Raw genomic sequence first — 22,442 nt, forward strand, 5'->3', positions numbered from 1 at the left:
CGCGGCTTTTATGCCCCCCTGCGCGCGCGCGCGTGCAGCCCGGCGGGGCGCTCCCCTGCCAGTGGGCGGGGAGGAAACTGTCAAGCCAGCGCCCGCCGGGGAACCCACGACTGTGTCACCTGCCCCCTGAGCGTTCTGGAGCGCCAAGCTTCGCGATCTTTGCCTTCCGGACTCGCAGACCGGCTCAAAGCCTCCCCTCAGCCTCTGGCTCCGTGATTGGCAGGCAGCTGACAGAAGAAAAGTTAAAAGGTTATTTCTGAAGAAGAGTTTCCTTCAGTGCCCTAAAGACCAACTGGATAGAAGGAGAGCGGAGCAGAGGCTTGGAAGCTTGGATCCCTCCTCCTGCACTCCCTCCCGGCCCCGACTCCGGAACAAAACAAGCAAACAATAAAGCAAACTTGTTGCTCTTTTGTCTCAAAGTTTTGTGTGAGTTCCCATCTCGTAATCAGTGGGGTTGAGGGTGACGGGGAGCAGAAGTAACTAATATCATTGTGTTTTCTTAGTTACATTTTGGACAAATTTTTACGGATACTGGAGATGAGAAGTGGACTCTGCTCTGTCCTGAAAACCTGGAATCATAACATTTCATGGCTAGGACTAGAGTGTCCTTGGCGCTGTGTTTCTGGTCAGTGTCAATTGTGTGTCATATTGAGATGCCCCCACAAAAACTGTCATCATCAACAGGCGCTCCAGAGCCGCTGGTAGCCTACCAAATTGTTGGCTCAATGGAATGCTTACTTGTTGAAATACACCAACTTTGGAAGCTCTGAGTCAAGTTTGGGACAGAGGTTCCTTGCTCTCCAGGAACTCCAGGGCTAGCTGTATGCGGACTTGCATAAATAACAAGGGCTATTCCACTGACTTTGTCTCTTTTTCTCAGGTTGTCAGCGGCAGGCTGCAATTTTAATTCTGTAAACGTAAGTGGTTGGCTTTTTTTTTTTTTTTTTTTTTTTAATCTTGAGACAAGATCTCGCTCTGTCTGTTTGGCTAGAATGCAGTGGCATAATCCCAGCTCGCTGCAACCTCAATCTCCAGGGCTCAAGCGACCCTCCCACCTTGGACTCCCAAAGAGTGCTAAGATTACAGGCATGAGCCACTATGCCCAGCTGGCATTTATTTTCTTAAAGAAAAAAAAAATCTAAATACTTGGGGGAAATGGGAGTTGAGCAAAAGACTGACACTAACAGCAGAATGAATCATTTTTATATCTTCTTTACCTTCTTTACTGGGAAAGGTGGCTGGCTCAGCAGGGAAGGAGTGTATGAGGAGACTGTGTAAAATGTGTCTTGTCGCGTTGTTGGTAAGCCGCTAAGCAAATGTCTTTAACATTAATTTGAAATTAGGTCTTGACAAAATCTTGAGAAATTAAAACAGGAAAATAGATATTTGTACTCTAGGATGATAATTAAAATTGTAATATGAAGAGTAAATTGAGGGGTCATATTGAAAGGGAATAATAGTAGAAGACAAAAAGAAAACAAGGAACCAAACAAAACTTCAGCTCCTCTAATGGCATGCACAGAACATAGAAGTTTCTGATGAAGGAACTGGCAAAAAAGACAGAAAAGGAACTGCTGGGGTAAAATGGCAACATGCTGGGAGAACACAGGTTTGCAGCTCTTGTGGGAGAAATACTTTCAAGAAGAAAGAAGTAGTTAATAATGCAAAATACTCAGGTGAGCACCAGGGAATAAAGGATGGAGAAATATTTTGAATTTTTCAGGACAATATTTAGTGTGAGTAAATTTAGAAGGCACAAAAACTGAACAGCTGAAATGATCTGTGAGAAGATAGATATTGTCATGGACTGAAGACCAAGGTTACATGGAAAGAGAAATGGACTGGATAATAGTTGAAAAGATTAGACAGCAAACATGTTTTTCTTTTAAGAAAAGATAAGAAGATTGATTGAGGTCAAAGTGCAATGAGTCAAGGATAGTGACAACTGGAAGAACAGGAAGCAGTTTGGCGGTGGCGGATAGGTGAGGCACAAGGACGTCAGCACTGGATTCAGACAAACCGGGTTTGGATCTTGTGTCTGCTACTGACCAGCTGTGTAACCTTGGGCAATTTGCTTCAACTCTGGGTCTCAGATTCCTTATTATAAAGTAAGCTTTTCTAAAAAAAAAAAAAAAGGTGAAAATTAAAATAGGTGAAGCATATTAAACACTATTACAGAGCCTGCCACAAAGTATTAATACATTAATATTAGTCCCAACATATTACTTCTGAAATATTAATGAATAATAAATGTGAGATAGAGAAAAATGTGAAGAATAGGTTTTTTTAGTAGATAGCAAGGACTGAGGTCTAGAGAAAACTTAGTACCCCTTCATCCCTTTCCCTCCTCTCAATTTCCACTGCCACTGTCCAGATTCATATTTTCTCCTATGATAGCAAACAGCAGTTAGCTTCTCATTACCTCCAAATACGCCCCCCACTTTTTTTCGCATTGTGAGATGCTTTTATTACAGTGAATTAAACTGCTTACCAAACAGTGATCTTTGTAAGGAAGGATTTTTTCCCTTTTTAGTTGACATGGAATAACTGTGCATATTTATGTGATCTATATATACAGAGTGATATATATGTACGGAGTGATATATCAATACATGTATACAATGTATAGTGACAAAATCAGGATATTTGATTATTAGCATATTTATTAACTCAAATGTTTATCATTGCTTGTGTTGTGTACATTCAAAATCCTCTCTTCTGGCTTTTAGAACCTATACACTAAATTATTGTTAACCATATTCACCTTACATGTGTTCTAGAAAACACTAGAACTTATCCTCTAATCTAGCTGTTTCTTCGTATCCGTAAACCAGCCTCTCCCTATACACATCTCCCCTTACCCTTCCCAGCCTCTGATAACCACAATTCTACTCTCTACTTCTATAAGGTTTTTTTTTAGCTTTCACATATGACTAAGAACATGCAATATTTATCTTTCTGTACCTGACTTATTTCATTTAATTGCTCCACATTTCTTAAATCCAATTTACCTTCTGCACTTCTCCTAGGAAAATTTCTAAAACTGATCTGATCGTGTTTAGATATTCTCATGTTTAAAATCCTTAAAATATCTAAACTCCTGGGCATCACATCTGAGGTGTTCCATGCCCCATGTCTTTCTTGTGGCCCTTCTTTACATGCCAGGAAGCTGTGTGTCAGTCACAGGTTTAGCATCCCTGATCTAAAAATCTGAAATCCTAATTGCTCCAAAATCTGAGCCTTCCTGGACTGTGATGTAAGCAAGATATAAACTTCTTATCTGTTGAGCCTTTGCATGTTTGTTTCTATTTTCTATCACAGCCTAACCTAATATATCTCCCAATAGAAAAAATCCTCCCAAATGTCCCTGATGACTAAATCATGTAGAACACGGGGCAAATTAAATCTTTTTGGTAGATAGCCATCAGGGCAACCAAATTGGCTAACCTACTAGATCATTTATTGCCATAAAGTCTCCAAATAGACATAAATTACTTACTTATCTAGCAAAACAAAGATAGTGTCATTATACACTGCCTCCCTGGCCCCCACTCCTAAGCAATAATCTTTTTTAAATGAAAGTTTTTGTTAAAAAGTGCTCCAACAATCTGAAACATGACAAGTGGAAAATTCCACATGTAAGTACTAGATACAAACTTGGTTTCATGTACAAAATTATTAAAATGCAAAAGATTATTTTCAGGCTATATGTATAATATGTATGTGAAACAAATAAATTTTATGGTTAGACTTAGGTCTCAGCCCCAAGGTATCTCATTATGTACATGCAAATACAAAATCCCCCCAAAATTCTGAAATCTGAAATACTTCTAGTCCTAAGCATTTTGGATAAGGGACACTCACCTGTATAGCCTATAAATAAGAATGTTCTTACAAAATTATATGGATGATGGTTTATCTCAAATTTAACTTTGTTTTAGCTAAGAATTATGTTTTTAATAACACAAATCACTGTGATGACAGAAATATATAGCTGATGTAATGTCCTGAACATAGAAGCTGAGAAATGCATATAAAAATCAGAGGAGTGGGGAGATGTTGACTGGGTAAGCAGCCCTTTTTTGGTTTTATAATATACCACATATAATGTTCTATAGATATTTTAAATTCAAAATAGACTTTTAATATAAAATATGGGAACATTCTTCTCCAAAAACCCATTATCAATATATTTCTGTTATATAAAAAGATAATCACAACATATGGGAAATCTCACCATCCTATTAAAATTTTCCATCTTCTCTTGAACACATATCTCATATTTATATATACTTTTCTTTGGTCAGCGTGTATTGCGCGTGTACTTTGGGTGGCCCTGTGCTGCGTCAGCTGGAAGGGATCCAGAGAAAAAGACAGAGCCCTCTTTGAAGACATCCAGAGAGAGTAAGCTCCTTATGATCCTGTGATTGGTATTTCCATGGTAGAGATCTGATAGCTGCATAGGAAAACAGTTGAAGAAAGTGGGAGGGCAAAGATACTCAAGAGGAGCGGGTATCAAACGGCAAAGGCCTGAGGGCATGGAGAGTGGCTATGTTTTAACTGACACATGGCTTCCTAGCATGTAGAGAGCTGTATTTGATTTAGTTTTGCAAACGAAGTTCTCTTAAAAACAAATGCAGCGCAATGATGCAAAGTTAAGAGAGGTGATTATTCCTTTAATGCAATTACAAGTGTTGAGTGTTGAACATTTACTCAGAAGCAGCCATCTCTTACTGTCTACACATACAGCCTCTGGAATCAGACCGCTTGGGTTTTAATCCAGCTCTACCATCTACTAGCTCTGTGACTTTTGGATAGTTACTTAATTTATCTGAATCTCAGCTTCCTCATCAGTAAAATGAGGATAATAGCAGCACCTATTTCATAAAGTTGTTGTGAAGACTATACTAAGTTAGATACAAGTCAAGTGCTTAGACCAGTGACCGGCACATAGCAAATGTTATATAAATGCTATTATCATTAAGCACTATACATATATAATTGCGTTTATTATTTACAACCAAGCTGTGAGGTAGTTATTATTGTGGTAATTTTATAGATGAGCAAAACACGTTTAAGGAGTTTGGGGAATCTGGTCAAGGTCACTTATCTAGAAAATGAAGGAGGAGGCTTTGACACAAGGTGTGGCTGACTACTGAGTATTACTTCTTTTTTGAAAATTAAACTCTTAATTTTGAGATAACTGTAGCTGAGCAGTACTTTTAGCCCTGTCTGAATGGCGATTTATTTAAGAAATACAAGTTGAATATAGACTGAAATCAGCACTCTTTGAGCAAATATATATTTTCCCATACCCTAGTGTCTGTCAGCTCAGTTCTGACCTGTTAGGCCAGGCTAGTCTTAAATTGATTTTTCCTTTATCCCATGCACACTGGTGAGCACAGACATTCCAAGAAGCACTCAATCACAGGCCCAGGCTCAGAGGCAGGCCAGTCACTCACCTGATAGACATGTTTACTGAATTTTAAAATAATGACATATCAATCAATACAAAAATAAGCTTTTTCTTTATTGAAACAAACAAACAAAAACCACTGCTGGCATAAGACAGTTACTGCTAGTACTGGGGTCTGGGGCTTGTTTTGACTTTGCTACCACAAGCTACAATAGAGGAGCTGACTTTTTAAATAGCTACTATGTTTTTGTTCCTTTGTAAGTTATTTCATTTAGTTTTCTTGCTAACCCTGCAAGGTAAGTAGTAGTATCCTCATTTTACAGTTGAAGAAAATGAGCCTCATGGAAGACAAGGGACTGATACCAGAACTTAGCAACAAACTTGGGTACACATCCAAGTCACATGGCTCCAAAGCCTTTGCTTTGTCTACTCCACTGAATTCTCTTAGATCTACATTCAAATGCTGTCTCATCCCCTTTGCTAATTGTATGATCTTTGGGTGATTACGTAACCTCTCTGATCCTGTTTCCTGAGCTGTTAAAAGGGGAACAAAATGACATTCCTTGAAGCACCCAGTACAATGCCTGGCACAAATTTGGTGATCAATGAAATATTCTTATTAAGTTTCTTCCTTAATATTCATATTTATTTCTGGATTAAGAGATACTTAGTTGAAAATGGAGAAAGAACAATGATACAGATAGATTTTCAACTCCAGAATATGGTGAGATGTTTCTAACTTTTCTTGGTGTTTCCCAGGGCTGCTATAACAAAATACCATAGACTTGGTGGCTTAAACAACAGAAATTTATTGTCTCACAATTCCTGAGGCTGGAAGTCCAAGATCAAGGTTTTGGAAGGTTTGGTTTCTTCAGGCCTCTCTCCTTGGCTTTCAGATGGTCACTTTCTCGCTGCGTCCTCACACGGCTTTTTCTCTGTGAATGTGTGTCTGTGTGTGTGTCCAAATTTCCTCTTCTTATAAGGACACTAGCAAGATTGGATTACAGTCCGCATGGTCTTATTTTAACTTAATCACCTCTTTAAAGGCTCTAACTTCAAATAGAGCTACATTCTCAGGTATTAGGTGGTAGGGATTCAATGTAAGGATTTGTGGGGGAATACACAATTCAGCCCACAAAACATAGATTTTCCAATCTGGAAATGGAATTCTGTTTACTGACTAAACTATACTGGGGAAACCAACAGATGGATGCATTAAGGATTGAGCCAGTCTTGTGACTTGTACTTAACAAAACACACATTCCTGCAAATGGCAAGAACAGAAAGGCAGTTCAGTTCAGTAACGGGAGAAGCATCTAATGGTCAAAGTTATTCAGTTGCCAAATGGTCAAGTGGTGGTAATCTGTGACACAGAGAAAGAGGAAAAGAAATTCATCACTTACAGGTGGACCTGAAGGCTGAGGAAGAATTTTTGAAAAATTTCTACCCATGTGTTCCAATATTGGGTGGTATCAGTTATAAACAACTACTCTAAAGTAACTTCTACTTAATAGGTTGTGCTCATATAATTTGTACAATTTATTCAACAAATGTGTTTTGGCCACCACAGATATGTCCTGTACTAGGGCATGAGTACATGCAGTAAATAAAACAAATGATCTTACCTCCATGGAGCTTGTAGCCTCTTTGGGGATGCAGACAATAATTTGGTCACAGGCAGGTATATGGGAGCGCATGTCAGAGGGGCTTAACATGGTGAGGTAGAAGAGGCAAGTCTCCTGTAGGAAGTGCTATTTCTCCTGAAGTCTGAAAAATGTTTATGGGTAGAATAGAAGTTAGGAGAAGGGAAGAAGGGGTAGTGCAAAACAGAAGGAGCTGAAGATTCTAGCATCCAGGAGAAAGGGAGAATACTGTGTATCTGAACAATTAAAATAAAGGCTAGAACACGGGGTGCTGATGCGGGATGAGGGAATGGCAGAAGATGAGGCTGGAGAAGAAGAAAGGAGGCACATCACTACGAACATTTTAAGCCATAAGATGGACTTCATATTTCACTCTCAGACAATAGGAAGTCACTGAATGGCTTTAAAACCTAGGGAGACCTCTAAGCTTTGGGTGTTTGAAAGATTATCTTGGTTTAACTTGGAGAATGAATTGCAGTCAGGGGCAATGGAACCACAGCAACTGTATTTTGCCTGTTTTATTGTTATAGGATCTAGGATGTTGGGAAGGAACAAAGAAATTCAGGCATCTCTCCTGAGAAGAGAAAGGGAGTAGAATGCTCCATCATGATGCTAACCACAAGAATTGACTTGACGGGACAGAATCAAGGGGAAGAACGTCAGTGAAACTTCTGGTGACAATCACCCACTTAGGTCTTTATTTTCCATTTTTGCATTTGTCATACTTTTCATAGTAATGAAAACAAATATGTTGTGTATAATACTGGATGTCAGCCTATACATTTGGTTTTTAAATTTGGGGAAGGAAACTTCTTTCCACTCGATTGAGCAGTTTCATCTTTGCAATGTATTTATTCTTTCTGAACTTTTGGGTAGTGTCCTCGTATTAGTCTGTTTTCATGCTGTTGATAAAGACATACCCAAGACTGGGTAATTTATACAGAAAAAGAGGTTTAATGGGCTCACAGTTCCACATGGCTGGGGAAGCCTCACAATCATGGCAGAAGGCAAAAGGTCTGTCTTGTGTGGCGGAAGGCAAAAGGCCCGTCTTATGTGGTGGCAGAAAAGAGAGAATGAGAGCCAAGTGAAAAGGGAAATCCCTTATAAAATCATCAGATTTTGTGAGACTTATTCACTACCACGAGAACAGTATGGGGGAAACTGTCCCTGTAATTCAATTATCTCCCACCAGGTCCCTCTCACAACACGTGGGAATTATGGGAACTTCAATTCAAGATTATATTTGAGTGGGGACACAGCCAAATCATATCAGTCCTAGAAAATTCTTCAGGACTGGCTCTTTTTACTTTTTGGCAATTTAGCCCTCCTGGTCATGAACGAGTTGTCAGATTAGCTTCTCCTAATTTCACACTATGATGGGGAGAAGGAAATGCAGGTTTTCTGCTCTTAAAAGATTCCACATACTGTTTGGACCCTCCCGTGCATAGTGGAGAGAATAACTTTATTCATTCTGTGATTATCCAGTAGGAAGTCTTATCAGACAGGAGGCCCTCTGGAGGGTCCTAGCAACACTGACCTAAACCTCAGAGCACTCGAGTGAACACCCAAAGTCCTCTGTGGAGAAATGATGTAGAGTCTTGAATGGGAATATGTTGCTAATGGGTCATTAGTAATTTGAGTGTCTTTTCAGCTGGCGTCAAAACAGGCCCTATTCCTCAGTACCCGGTATCAAGAGAAGACAACTTTCAGAAGCCCATTGCCTAGACTTGGAGGAGGCTCTTAATATGTTTTTTTTCCACATTTCATAAATTCTTAGGATTTTTTAAATTTAATATCCTTTATGAACTAAGGTCAACAAAACTTTAATCAGTGAATATATTTTTGGTTCTGAGAGTTAGAACACTCCTCCCTTTTAAAACAAAAAAGTTTTTAGAATTTTGTTGTTAAATATATCTGGACATATGAAGAAAACTGAAGTTATCAGCCTTTTCAATTGAATCCTGACACTGAAATTGTCTTTTGAAACTTACTTTTGTGTAACTATCCTGGCTCACTGGCACTCTGCTCTGGAATTAAATTTCCCTAATTTCTGTCAACTTTTTGAATCTGCAACAGTGGGAGCATATGATATGCTGTATGAGTAACTGCACAAGTTATTGTTAGAAAAATTCCTACTGATAAGCCCTATGAGTTTTATCTGTAACTGTGCAAGTAACCTAAGTATCTTGTGGAATTAGAGGCAATAGTCTGTTTTACAAAGAGTAGGAGAGAGAGAGAAAGAGGTAGAGACAAAGACCAAGACCAGGAGAGGAAGAAGGAGAGAGACAGAAAGGGAGGCAGAGGGAAGAAAGGAAAGAAGAAAGAAAGAAAACATTAGCATAATTTTCCAAGAATAGGCATCTCAGTGTCTTGCCTAGAAATCAAGGTCTTCCTCTGCTCAGAAGCACAGAAACTGTCCAGGAGGGGAAGCTCTAAGTAACGATAACAATAGAAACTGATTGGCTTGACAATGAGATAAGACCAGGTATGTTCCCGGTGACCCACAGTGAAGGAAAATTCAGTTTTTGCACAGTTTCACTGTGTGGAGAGAATATAGCACCATTACAAAACTTCTTTTAAAGAAAAGACACTTTGGGAATTGGCCTCATCTGTTTTTTTGTAGGCAGTTCAGATAGGAATAAAGGAAAGAAGAAAACATCTCCTTCCTTATTCCCCATCTGTTTATCTCACTATTTCTCATCCTCCTTACAGACACTCAGCTGGAGGTTCACAGATCCAGTTTCTTGTAGATTGCTCCTCAATGTTGTGGGTAATTTTAGGCAAAATATGCAAATTTCTTGTTTGGCATAAGGTTTTTCTTTCTCCTGCTAAAACAAAAATGTTTCCGCTACAAACCATTTAAATACTTCGTAGGGATTTTGTCAGGATTAATGAGGCAACAGACAGTCACAGGTGATTATACTTATTTCAAGAATGCATTATTTTAGTATGTCTATTTGGCATTACATTGATTTTTTTTCAGGTCATTAGCTTATTAATTTCTACTAGACAGCAGAGCTGCTGTGTCTTGTTATTTTTGGAGTTAAAATGGTGTAATATTCTCAGAGAGCTAGACATCAACTTAGTGAACTGGAACTGGAGAATAATTTATTCTTTGCTACCATAGATGTTAATTATTTACCACAAGACAGAGCTGGGCAAGAAGAAATCTCAGAACTTTAGTTTGGATACAGACTTTGCTTTTTATGGTCTGTTTCAATCCCTTTATTTTACAGATAAGTAGATTAAAACAATTATGATTAAGTATCTTCTCTTATGTCACACAGTTGTTATTGATTGGTTTATACTTAGGAGCTAGAGCAAGTGTTCCCAGGGAGTACATTTTGTACTGAATATAGCTGTCTTTGTGAAGAGAAAAATAACAAGATTTGTAGGTACTGAAAGTTACCCAGAAATCTCACATTAGTCTAGGAAGAGGTATGTATTATGATGCTCAGGGTTACTGTGGCTTGATATAATTAAACAGATGTATATTCGTCTCCTAGAGTCTTCAAAATAATGATAGTGGTGACGATGACGATGATGATAGTTAGCAGTTTTTAAAGGCTTACTCTGCAACAGGAATTATACCTAGAGGTTTATACACATTATCTCATTTATTTCCTAAAATGATGCCATGAGGTTGGATCTATTATTTCTTCCAGTCTACAGAAGAAGAACCTGAAGCTTAGAGATATTTGGTAAATTGTTGCAACTTCACTCTGTAAGTAAATGTCAGATCTGACCAATATGATGCCACCCTATGCCTTGTCACAGTATTATTCTGCTATACGTTTGAGAATCTGCCAAATTTTCTTAGGCTCATTATCCACTACCACCATATTCTGACTTGTGGTGGAATTAATAATATTTCTAGAAGAAATATTTGCAATATTTAAGCAAATTTTAGAATTTTTATACTAGAAATAAGATCTTGGACATAATGTAACTGTATGTCTAGGTGGTGCTAAGTAACGAGACTTTCTGCACTGAGTTTTAGAATGAAGAATGGGAAGGAAAGCTCTTCCTAAATAAAGCAGGAAACATGGATACCAGCTTACCATTTGTAACCAGAGGTGTTTCTTAATCTTTTTCAGATCAGTTGTACAAAAGTTAAGACAGCAATAATGGTTTTTATAGAATGTTCTCATGACGGTTAAATATTAAGATGTATGTGAAGTACATAGCCCAGTACTAGAAAGATCTGGCGTCTCTTCTGATTATTTATTGCCTGTGCTGTACCAGTTAATGTTTGGAATATCAGTACTGTATTCAACAGATATCTATTTGATATCTAGTATGTGATTGGGCCAGTAATAGGCCCTAAGGGGACAGTACTATTTTTATCTTCATGGTGCTCACTTTCTAGTTGAAGGAGGTAGAAAAAATAATTATTGCGGGTAGTGATAAGTGAAACAAAAATAATAAGACAGGATTGGGGTAGAGTGACATGAATTGGGGAGAAGGAAGGATTCCATGAGATCAGTTGTGAAAGGAGGCTTCTAAGAAAGCAACACTGGAGTTGAGAAGGGAATAAGAAAGAGCCAACTACCTGGAGATTGGTAGAAGGATGAAAAGACATGCACAAGATTTGAAGAAGAGTTTATGAAGATGAAGGCTTCCAATGAACTGAGATTTCTACATCATGGGGAGGGTAATAAAAATGCTCTTTAAAATATGTTAAACAAGGTATCTGTATCTATGTCTGCATGAAAGTAGAGAGGAGACAGAATAGCTGATGCAACAGATGACAGTGAATAATCGAGTATCTACAGCTTCTACAATGATCATCAACCAGGTTCTTTCTGCCCAACTGCAGCAAGTCAATCACTGAGATAATGGATTTTGCAAAAGAGAAGACTATTCATGAGGCAGCCAGTGAGGAGGTGAAGAACAGGTCTCAACTCCACCTCCCAGAAGATAAGGCTTAGGGATATTTATAGGTTATAGAAGTGGGGTCAGCTAAGATGTGGGAAAAGGTGATTGTCAGTGGGGGAAAAATGAAGCAATCAGTGATCTATGCAAACATAGTTGGGATATGTGGCATTTCATAGGACACATTTGCAGAAAATGATGGTATTATGATCTGAGGGTGGAATTTTTGGTCCTCTGATGTCAAAATGCTCTCCGGCATTTACAGAGGCCCAGCTGAAGAGTCAACCAGTTTGAACTGGTCAGGAGCTGTCCCACATTCCTGAAAAATAACTGAAGTGACCATTACCATGGTGATTTATAAATGTTCAATTTATTATGCCGCTAATGAAGGTTAAGTTTCAGCGTTCAGTGGTGCAGCCTTCAATTACTGTGGCTTTCAGCTTCATGAAAAAAAAAAAAAAAAAAGAAAAGAAAAAGATAAAAAGCAGGTAACCAAAAGCAAGCAGGGCATGCTAAATTTGGCAGACCTAATCAGATGAATCCTCTGTTTCACAGTGCTATTTTGTTTATAATCTTCTTTATCCAGGAGAACATTATTTGAACTAAAAAGAACAAAGCAAGAATGGTCTGAAATCACAAGGGGTTCAGAAGAATGAAACAGATGATCTGGATACTTTTAGAAGGAGTAATAATTATTAATCCCAACAAATGACATTCTTCAGTGTCTAAGCATTTTCTTTTGTGATTAAAGAGCTGCCGTGAACAAACCTGGAGGAGAACGTGATGGGTACCAGAGACCAGAAATTTACACATGGCTATGTTTTCAAAGGACAGGTCAAGATGGTGAGAGGAGTGGGGCTAAGGAAGATGTTATCATATATAAATTCCAGAAATTGTACTGAGGTGACGTTGGTATCCATCTGCAGCATAATTCTATGCTTAAATATTGAACCAATTATTTTTGAGCTCTTAGTAAGGCAAGGTGGTGGAGCCAGGATGGGTTCAATAAGAAGTTCTCATGCTAAACTAACCTCTTTTTTGATAAAATTTCCAGACTTTAAAGTCAAGAAGACAAAACAATTCTAGATTTGAGTAGGGCATATGAAGAAAATATGTGGCTTAATAACTTGCTTTTTAAAGTTAACATTTTGAAATGGGATCTAAAAAAAAATGTCGATCTTACAGAATTAGAGAGTAGAGCAGTGGTTACTGACACCGGGGAGAAAATGAGAGATTGGGGAGGATGGGAGAGGTTGGCCAACAGGTACAAAGTTACAAGAAGATAGAAAGAAGTTCTGGTGTCCTTTTGCATAATAGGGTGAAGATAGTTAACAGTAAGGGATTGTATATTATAAAATACCTTGAAGAGAGGTTTTGGAATGTTCTTATTACAAAGAAATGAAAAATGCACAAGGTGATGAATACGCCAGCTACCCTAATTTGATTATTATACAACATATACATGTATCAAAACATCAAATTGTATCCCATAAATATGTACAATACAATGTGTCAATTAAAAAATAGAAAACAATATAATTATGTGGTCTACAAAGAGAACATAATGGACTAAATGTTGATTGGGATTCACAGAATATTGCCAAAATATTCGTGACTTTGCTAACCATATGAAACAAAATGTTCACATTTAAATATATAAGTTGATCTTAGTTGTATTTATGTAATAATTATTATGATCCATAATAAACCATACATATTTTGCTAATTTTATTATTTCTGTCCATGACAAGTGAAGTTATTAATAAGATATTATAAAATTTGGCACATAAATTAAAATGTATTCGTTATCCTATTAACAGTATTATTTTAAATGACAAAACTGTATTCCATATGTATTCCAATACACCAAAATTTTGTAAGTTAATTTACCAATATCCGTTTTTTGGACATTTAGATTATTTGCATTTCTTACACTTTTTTGAAGTATTCTAGTTATGTCCTTAGGTTAAATTCCTAAAAGTAAAATTTCTGAGCTATGAGGATATGCCAAATTACCTTCCAAAAATGTGGTATTCGCCGGGTGCAGCGGCTCATGCTTGTAATCTCAGTGCTTTGGAAGGCTGAGGTGAGAGGATGGCCTTGAGGCTTGGAGTTAGAGACCAGGCATGGGCAATGTAATGAGACTCTGTCTCTACAAAAAAAAATTTTTAAATTAACTGGACATGTTGCTGTGCACCTCTAGTTCCAGCTACTTGGGAAGCTGAGACAGGATATCTGCTTGAGCCCAGGAGTTCGTGGCTGCAGAGAGCTGTGATCACACCACCGCACTCCAGCCAGGGCAACAGAGTGAGACCCTGACTCCAAAAGCAAAAACAAAAGAGCAAAAACGAGATTCCAATGTATACTCCCACCAATTAATTTGAAGGTGACCATATCCCTCCTATCAAATACTGTCACTCATTTACATCTTTGCCAAATGTGGGTAAGAAAAGAAATAAATAGTTTTTTTATTTAAATGTGTATATCTTTATTGTTAGTGAGGTTGAATATTTTTCATATGCTTATTGATCACTTATAGTATTTTTATTTGGTTATCAACTCATTTGCTTATCTGTTTTTAATATTTTTAAATATTTTCATTTTGTATGAGAATTATTAGAGTTATGACAGAACACTTACATTATAGAAGTGCATCCTGAAAAAATTATGCATTAAATGACATGATGTCCGGAATTGTACGTAAAGTCACCTAGTAATGCGGTGGAGCCTGATGAAACAAGAATGGCTATGAAATGATATAATGATGGAAGATTGGGGAAGGGCTTCTAGAGTTTCATAATACATCCCTCTCCATTTGTGTCTACATATAAAATATCCATTACAAAAGGTAGACTAGGTCCTTGTAAAAATAATTTTATATGTTGCAAGCGCAGGAAGAAACTTTCAGTTTCAAGAGTTTAAGCATGTCAAATTGTATACTTCAACTATGCCATTTTATTTGTAATAACCCAAAACCAGAAACAGCCCAAATATCCACTAACAGATAAATGGGTAAACAAATAGTGATAATATCCATAGAACAGAATGCGACTCTGCAAGAAAAGAATGAACTATTCACATAAGCAACATTAATGAATATTAAAATAATTATGCAGCATGAAGAAAACAAGAATAATAAAAAACACTTTATAATTAAAATCATATAAAATTCCAGAAAATATTAACTAATTTATTTTGAAAAAAGGTAAATCAAGGGTTGCCTGGAGGGCAAGTGAGAGTAGGGAAAGATTATTAGAAAGGTATACAGGAGTAATGGATATTTGGATATGTACATTAGCATAATTGTGACAGTTTCATGAGTTTATATGTATGTGGAAAGTACCTCAGTTGTACACCGGTTTTTGTTTTTTGTTTTTTTTTTTTAAAGAGACAGTGTCTCACTGTGTTGCACAGGCTGTAGTGCAAGGCTGTGATCATAGCTCACTATAGTGTTGAACTCCTAGGATCAAGGGATTGTCCCCCCGAGTCTCTCAAGCAGCTGGGACTAAGGGCATGCTCCACCACGTGGAGCTAATATTTTTAAATATTTTTATAGAGATGAAGGTCTTGGTATATCATCCAGGCTGATAATCAACTCAACTGTACACCTGAAATATGTGTAGTTTATAGCATGCCAATTATGTTTCAATAGAACGTTAAAAATGACTTAAAGTCTGGATCTACTTTTTAAAGGAAAACATAAAGTTTGGCAACCCTATATTGACTCCACCATGCCTTGGGAAAGGCAGCCCGCATCAGTGGCAGGAAATATTGGTAAGCAATAAACATCATCTCTATATGAGTCAACAGAAATGTTAGAGGGGTGACAAAAGCCACAGCCCTGGACTATGAGATCTCTCATTTCTCTATTTTCATTTTCTTGACTGTGCAGCAATGGCCTTGAGGTCATTACATGAGTAAACAAAACCTTATTTGCTCTGACAGTTATGTCAGTTCCAGGAAAAACACCAGCATGGAGTGCACCCACCCATGCTCATAGCCTTAGCCACTGAAACACCTATGGAGACACTGCAGAAGAGGTACCATTCTCGACCTTGATGCAGTCTCCTCCAGACCTTATTAATCACACTCAGTGTTTCTGCGCCAATTATGGTTTCAGCCTGGCCTCTTAACAAATGACACCAGAAACTTGAGTTTTGGACATCCAGGCACATGGTTCCTCTGCAGTGCCTGGAGTCTTCTCAGGGGTGCTAGGAGTTATGTGACATCCCCCGAGAAAAAGGGATTCATCCTTCTCCCCAGAGTCCTACAGGATGTCACAACAACTTTCCCCTCCTCAGGGTGAACTCTGAGCCTACAAAGAAATCCTGGCATTCAGGCCACAAATTAGGATCACAAAGTGAAATACTCTTTCCTAGGTGGGTTTTGACAGCAAAGCAAATTAGACCAAAATTGGAAGAAGAGAAAATTATTTGCAAATTGCCGGTAATACCCAGGCTAGAGCAATCTTCTTAGACAAGATTGGGTCAGGATCGTGCCTTAACTAGTCAGAGAGGAAGGAATGACATTCCCCTAAGGGCACAGACTATTTGTGATTTTCTCCAGGGAATGAGAGAGAGAACAGAAACATCTGCTTTCCTTTATTACACTGAGGTGACTAATACACACTATGGGGAACCTGTCAGGTGGTAGAGGTGAAATGGCTTATGCCACAGAAACTGGCAGTGACCTAAATCTGGCAAGGGTCCTGGCCTGCGCAGGTTAGAAAGTACAACGCAGCTCCTTAAAGCTTCCCACTTACCTGGAATTTGTGGGGAACCTCTCCACTGTGGATGTTCAGATGTATGGAGTTCGATGCCTCCTTTACATTCACAGAGGCTTTCCTCCTGAGTTGTTATAGTGAATATGGAAGCCTTTCTCCAGCATGCACTCTCCAGTGTTGATTGAGTCCAGGGCTTTCTGTTGAAGGGATTTCCCATATTTACCAAATTCACAGGGCTTTGCTCCAGTGTGAACGCTCTGTGATTAACTAAGGATGGAGCTCTGGCTAAAGGACATCCTATATTCACCATACACATGAGGCCTAGCTCTAGTGTGAATTCTCTAGTGTTCAATGAAGACAGAGCTTTGGCTAAAGAAATTCTCCACATTCACCACACTCATAAGTCTTTCTCCAGCGTGAATTATCCAGTGACAAATGAGATTGGAGTTTTGGCTAAATAATTTCCCACATTTGCCACACTCCTAAGGCCTTTTCTCCATTGTGAATTCCCTGATGTTGAACAAGTTTGTATTTGTACCTGAAAGCTTTCCTGGTTCACTGCACTTGTAATGACTTTTTCTGCTGTGAAAGGCCTCCCCACATTTGGTGCTGATGTGTGGCTTCAATCCAGTTGTGAGTGGCCTATGTTGGAGAAGGTACAGTTGCCAGGAAAATCCTTCCCAACTTTCCCACAGGCGAAAGGCCTTCCTGACACTTAAAATCTGCAGCCTTTCACAGAGAAAGCATTGTCCACGTCTCTATTCCATTGTGTTCCTTCTGGTGCTGGTGCATGTTTGCACTAAACCAGAATTGTTTCCCACATGCCTCACAAGTGTACTATTTCTGCCCAGATAGCGTTCCTTGTTGCTCAGCCAGATACAAAATGTCCCTTAAGACCAGAACACACATCTCACAGGGATGAGCCTTCTGGATGAATGGACCTAGCTGTGACACTTTCTACTGAAACACTTCACTGAGGGTGTCTGCTTTCCCTTTGCTCCACACCAACAACCTGGCGAGGTTATATAGGCAAAGTTCTCTGCATCACGGGGCACAGCTCTCAGGCTCATCAAGGAAACTCCATTCCTCTCAGAAGTCATTAAAGGTCGGCTATGTTCATAAAGATCATACTGAGATGGCTTCTCTTTCTGTAGGTGGAGCGAGCTGGGACTTGCAGGTGACCAAGAAGGGGGATCCCGGAACCGGAATTGTCTCCCTTGGCGTTCCGGAAGTAGAAGCAGAGTCATTGCTGGGTGGCGCCAGCCCTCAGACTTGCCTCTTTGCAGTAGGAAGAAGGCCTCCCCACATACCTTCCCACACTCATCACCTTAAGCCAGACTCGGTGTCCAGTGAATATGACCATCTCTTGCCCATTTTCTAATGAGTGTTTTCATTAATGAGTTATAAGAATGTGGTGGGTAAATCTATGGGCTTTGAACTAGTGAATCAACTTGGTTTCAGAATCTGGCACTGCTACTTACTAGTGAATTTAAGCAAGTTATTTCACCTTTCAGAGTGTCAGTTCCCTCATGCATACAAGGAAGATAAAAAATAATGTATACAAAAGTATTGGAGTAATTAATACATGGAGAACTACATGTAAAGCGTTTAGCATGATGTCTGACATATTAAGCATCCAATATTAGTTGCTTGCAGAATTATTAGTAAAAGAGATTGCTTCTGAAAGCCATTCCAATTCTTAAATTTTATAATGCCACATTTGAGGTCACCTGAAGTACGTGTATAACATGTGTACATTTTTGCGATTTATTTTTTCAATTCCCAGATTAGAGGCATAGAGATATCCTAGCAAGGACTCCAAGTGTGTAGATCTGTCAAAGATATGAACATGAAAGAACAGCTTATTTCAATAAACCCACTTTACATACCTTGTGTGCTTGTTTTTAACAATAAAAATTGGAAAGATAATTAAGGAACTGAAAAACCAGAGGGTAAATTCTACAGTTTCCTTAATTTAAAGAGTAATTGTTTTTAATTCTGATTCACCTAAGAAGAAGGCATTTAACTTGTAGGGCTTTCTGTATTTACATGTATTATATATTAAATCCTCACAATTGTTTGCAGTCATTATTATTATTATTATTATTATGCCCATATAATATGTTAATGTGGAAACTGAGGCTCACAAAGCTTAATTAAATTGCCCAAGTTCCTAAAATTAATAAATGTATTTTGGGTTTGAACCTGTCTTCTGACCGCAAAATTAATGATATTTCACCACACTGTTTTCATTCAGCCTAACCTAGTCAGCCATGACCACATGGTGGTGTTTAAAGAAACAAAAAAATCTGAAGAACTAAAACAAACTTTTAAAGGTTTAAATCGACTTTCACTTTGAAAGAAATCTAGCCTACCTGTGCCTTAAAAGATAAAAAAGTACAATAGTAAAATGGAAATCTTTTAGAGAAAAGAATTACATAAGCTGATTGTCAATTAAGACTCCTGAACTGGCCTCTGTACTCTGGTTTATTAGGAGTGTTGAATAAGTGCTTTTGGACAACATTTAGATGTGAACATAGTCTTAAATTCTCTTTATTCCCATTTTTTAAAAAAATGTTCTTGAGAGTATTGCAGTACAAATTACATATTGACCAAAATTTTGTCCCTTTTGAAAATCAAGTTTATTTTTAAGTTTGAAAATTCATACCCATGATAGTAAAAGAAAGAGACTATTACAGGAGATAAGAAGACGTAGTTCCTAAAATAGGTTATCAGTTAACTAGCATAGGGATTTTATGCTGGGAAGTTACTAAGCAAGGAAATGGCATGATATGCCTTAGTGTGATTTTGAAATAATCACTCTGGCTGCTGTGGAAGAATGGGTGTAAATGGCAAGAGTGGACAAAGGAATACCAGTTAAAAAGTTATTGTAGGCCGGGAGCAGTGGCTCATGCCTGTAATCCTAGCACTTTGGGAGGCCGAGGCAGGCGGATCACGAGGTCAGGAGATCGAGACCATCCTGGCTAACACGGTGAAACCCCATCTCTACTAAAAATACAAAAAATTAGGCGAGTGTGGTGGCGGGCGCCTGTAGTCCCAGCTACTCAGAAGACTGAGGCAGGAGAATGGCGTGAACCCGGGAGGTGGAGCTTGCAGTGAGCCGAGATCTCACCACTGTTATTGTAGTTGCCTAGCAGAAACATACACTACATTGTAGTAAAAATGACGATGGAAGGAAGTAGATAGATATGAGAAATATTTATGATTAGATAAAGGACTCACAAATATTTTTGAAATGAGTGTGGTGTCTTGGTGTTGGTGAGGATTACTATGGGGTAGAAAGAAATATTGAAAATAAATCCCAGATTATTAAAATGGGGAAAATACAAATACCTGTACTCTGTTTTCCCCATGGATATGTGGTAGTCCTTGGACATCTGCACACTTATCAAGAGATCTTCATGTATTTCTGATCCAGTTAATAAAATGGACTGGAAAGCACTGATCTACTGCCTAGCATGGCAATGGTGCCCAGTGCCTGGTCCTCTGTAAATGATTCCTCAGACATTACTGAGGAAAGAATCTCTGAGCTTAGAGATATTTCAATAAAAAAAATTTCCAAAACTGAAAAGCAGAGGAAAAAAAAAAGACTACACAACAAAAAAGAGTACCCAAGAACTGTGAGACAACAACGAAAGGTTTAACTACACATAATGAGAATACCAGAAGGAAAAGAGAGAAAGGAAGAGAAGAAATATTTGAAGCAAAAACAATAATGACTAAGAATGTTTTCTAGACTAATGTCAGATACCAGACTACAAATCTAGGTAGCTCAGACAGTTGCAAAAAACAAAAAGAGAGAGGGAGAGAGAAAAAAAAAACCAAAAGCAAAACAAAACAAAAAACCCAAAACACAACAAAAACTACACGTAGGCATATTATATTCAAATTTCAGAACATCAAAAATAAAGAAAAAATTTGGAAAGGAGCCAGAGGAAAAAACATCTTACCTATAGAGGAGCAAAGAATTACATAGTACTTTTTCTCAGAAACCGTGCAAGTAAGAAGAGAGTGAAGTATTTAAAATGTCACGGAAAAAAGCCCACCAAATTAGAATTCTGTACCCTACAAAATTATCCTTTAAAAGTGAAGCAGAAATAAAGACTTTCTCAGACAATCAAAAATTCATGGAATTTGTTGCTAGTAGACCTGCTTTGCAAGACATGTTAAAGAAGCTCTGTAGAGAAAAGTACAATTATATAGGTCAGAAACTTGAATCTACATAAAGATAGGAAGAGAATGAAAGAAGAAATAAATGAAGATAGAATAAAAACTTCTATTTTTAATTCCTAATTCATCTAACAGATAACAGTTTGTTCAAAATAATAATAGCAACAATGTATTTGTGTGTATATATACACATATATGTTTACGTATGCTTATGTATAAGTGTAATGAATGCCAGCAATGATATGGATAAGAGAGAGGAATTGGAATTTTTTTTATTATAAGGTACTTACACTACCCATGAAGTGGCATAGAGTTATTTGAAAGTGGACTCAAATTACTTCTAAATCTCTACTGGAAATTTCATCTAGCAATCTTGCTCTTTGGTATTTATCCAAAGAATATGAAAACTTATGCCCACACAAAAGCCTGCATATAGATGTTTATGGCAGCTTTATGTAAATGCTAAAACCTGGAAACAACCAAGATGTCTTTCAGCAGGTCAATGAATGAATAAACTGTGATACAGCAGACAATGGAATATTAATCAGTGCTAAAAAGAAATGAGCTGTGGCTGGGTACGGTGGCTCACGCCTGTAATCCCAGCACTTTGGGAGGCTGAGGCAGGTGGATTACCAAGTTAGGAGATCGAGACCATCTTGGCCAACATGGTGAAACCCCATCTCTACCAAAAATACAAAAATTAGCTGGGCGTGGTGGCACATGCCTGTAATCCCAGCTACTCAGGAGGCTGAGGCAGGAGAATCGCTTGAATCAGGGAGTCGGAGGTTGCAGTGAGCTGAGATCATGCCAGCCTGGCGACAGAGAAAGACTCTGTCTGAAGAAGAAAGAAAGAAAGAAAGAAAGAAAGAAAGAAAGAAAGAAAGAAAGAAAGAAAGGAAGGAAGGAAGGAAGGAAGGAAGGAAGGAAAAGAAAGAAAGAAAGAAACAGGGAGGAAGGAAGGAAGGAAGGAAGGAGAAAGAAAAGAAAAGGAAAGAAAAGAGCTGTGAAGCCATTAAAAGACGGGGGGCGGGGAACCTTAAATGTACATTTCTAAGTGAAGTAAGCCAATCTGAAAAGGGTACCTTGGTTCCAACTATGACATTCTGGAAAAGGTAAAACTATGGAGACAGAACAAAGATCTGTAATTGCACACAAGATGTTTAGGGCAGTGAAACTATTCTGCTTAAAACTATAACAACGAATACCTGTTATTATACATTTGTACAACATCACAAATATTGGCTTTGATATATTTCCTCGTGTTGTACAACAAGAGGAAACCCTAATATAAACTATGGACTTTGGTTAATAATGACATGGCCATGTAGATTAATCAGTCTTAACAAACGTACCACTGGTGAGGGATGTTGATAGTTGGGGAGGCCGTGCATGTGTGATGGCAGTGAGTATATACAAAATATCTGTACCTTCTGCTCTCAATCTGTCTCTCTCTCTCTTTTTTTTTTTCTGTGAACCAATGCTCCAAAAAATAGTCTGTTAAAGAAAGAGCAACTAAAACAAGCTCCTTTCATCACATTGTTTTATCTCTCTGATTATTACTGGTGAATACCTCCCTAGCACCCTAGAATGTATC

At 38.1% G+C, this 22,442-nt stretch overlaps 1 protein-coding gene, 2 long non-coding RNA genes and 1 pseudogene across 9 annotated transcripts in view; 1 reads left to right on the forward strand and 3 right to left on the reverse strand.

The window, feature by feature from the left end:
* The window catches only part of HPGD (15-hydroxyprostaglandin dehydrogenase), a 32,719-nt gene extending 32,330 nt beyond the window's left edge, over positions 1-389 (reverse strand). The window contains exon 1 of the mRNA NM_001256301.1: positions 120-389. The gene's annotated coding sequence lies outside the window, so the exon portion shown is untranslated. The remainder of the gene's footprint in view (positions 1-119) is intronic.
* On the forward strand, positions 109-18,545 carry LOC105377548 (uncharacterized). Of its 7 annotated transcripts, none has more exons than XR_007058491.1 (7): positions 109-917; positions 4,308-4,404; positions 7,590-7,752; positions 8,711-12,777; positions 14,138-14,377; positions 15,628-15,708; positions 17,812-18,545. It is a non-coding gene; the product is annotated as an uncharacterized LOC105377548 (long non-coding RNA). The 7 variants fall into 7 exon arrangements; XR_007058492.1 differs by having other exon boundaries at positions 109-625; positions 881-917; positions 7,590-12,777; XR_007058490.1 differs by having other exon boundaries at positions 109-426; positions 504-917; positions 7,590-12,777.
* LOC124900870 (uncharacterized) lies at positions 6,206-7,183 on the reverse strand. The gene is made up of 2 exons (XR_007058494.1): positions 7,042-7,183; positions 6,206-6,779 (listed from the first exon to the last, which is right to left on the reverse strand). It is a non-coding gene; the product is annotated as an uncharacterized LOC124900870 (long non-coding RNA).
* LOC100419741 (zinc finger protein 772 pseudogene) lies at positions 16,709-17,679 on the reverse strand (annotated as a pseudogene).
* Positions 18,546-22,442: the final 3,897 nt, after the last annotated feature.

Source organism: Homo sapiens, chromosome 4, assembly GCF_000001405.40.
Source record: "Homo sapiens chromosome 4, GRCh38.p14 Primary Assembly".
NCBI lineage: Eukaryota > Metazoa > Chordata > Mammalia > Primates > Hominidae > Homo > Homo sapiens.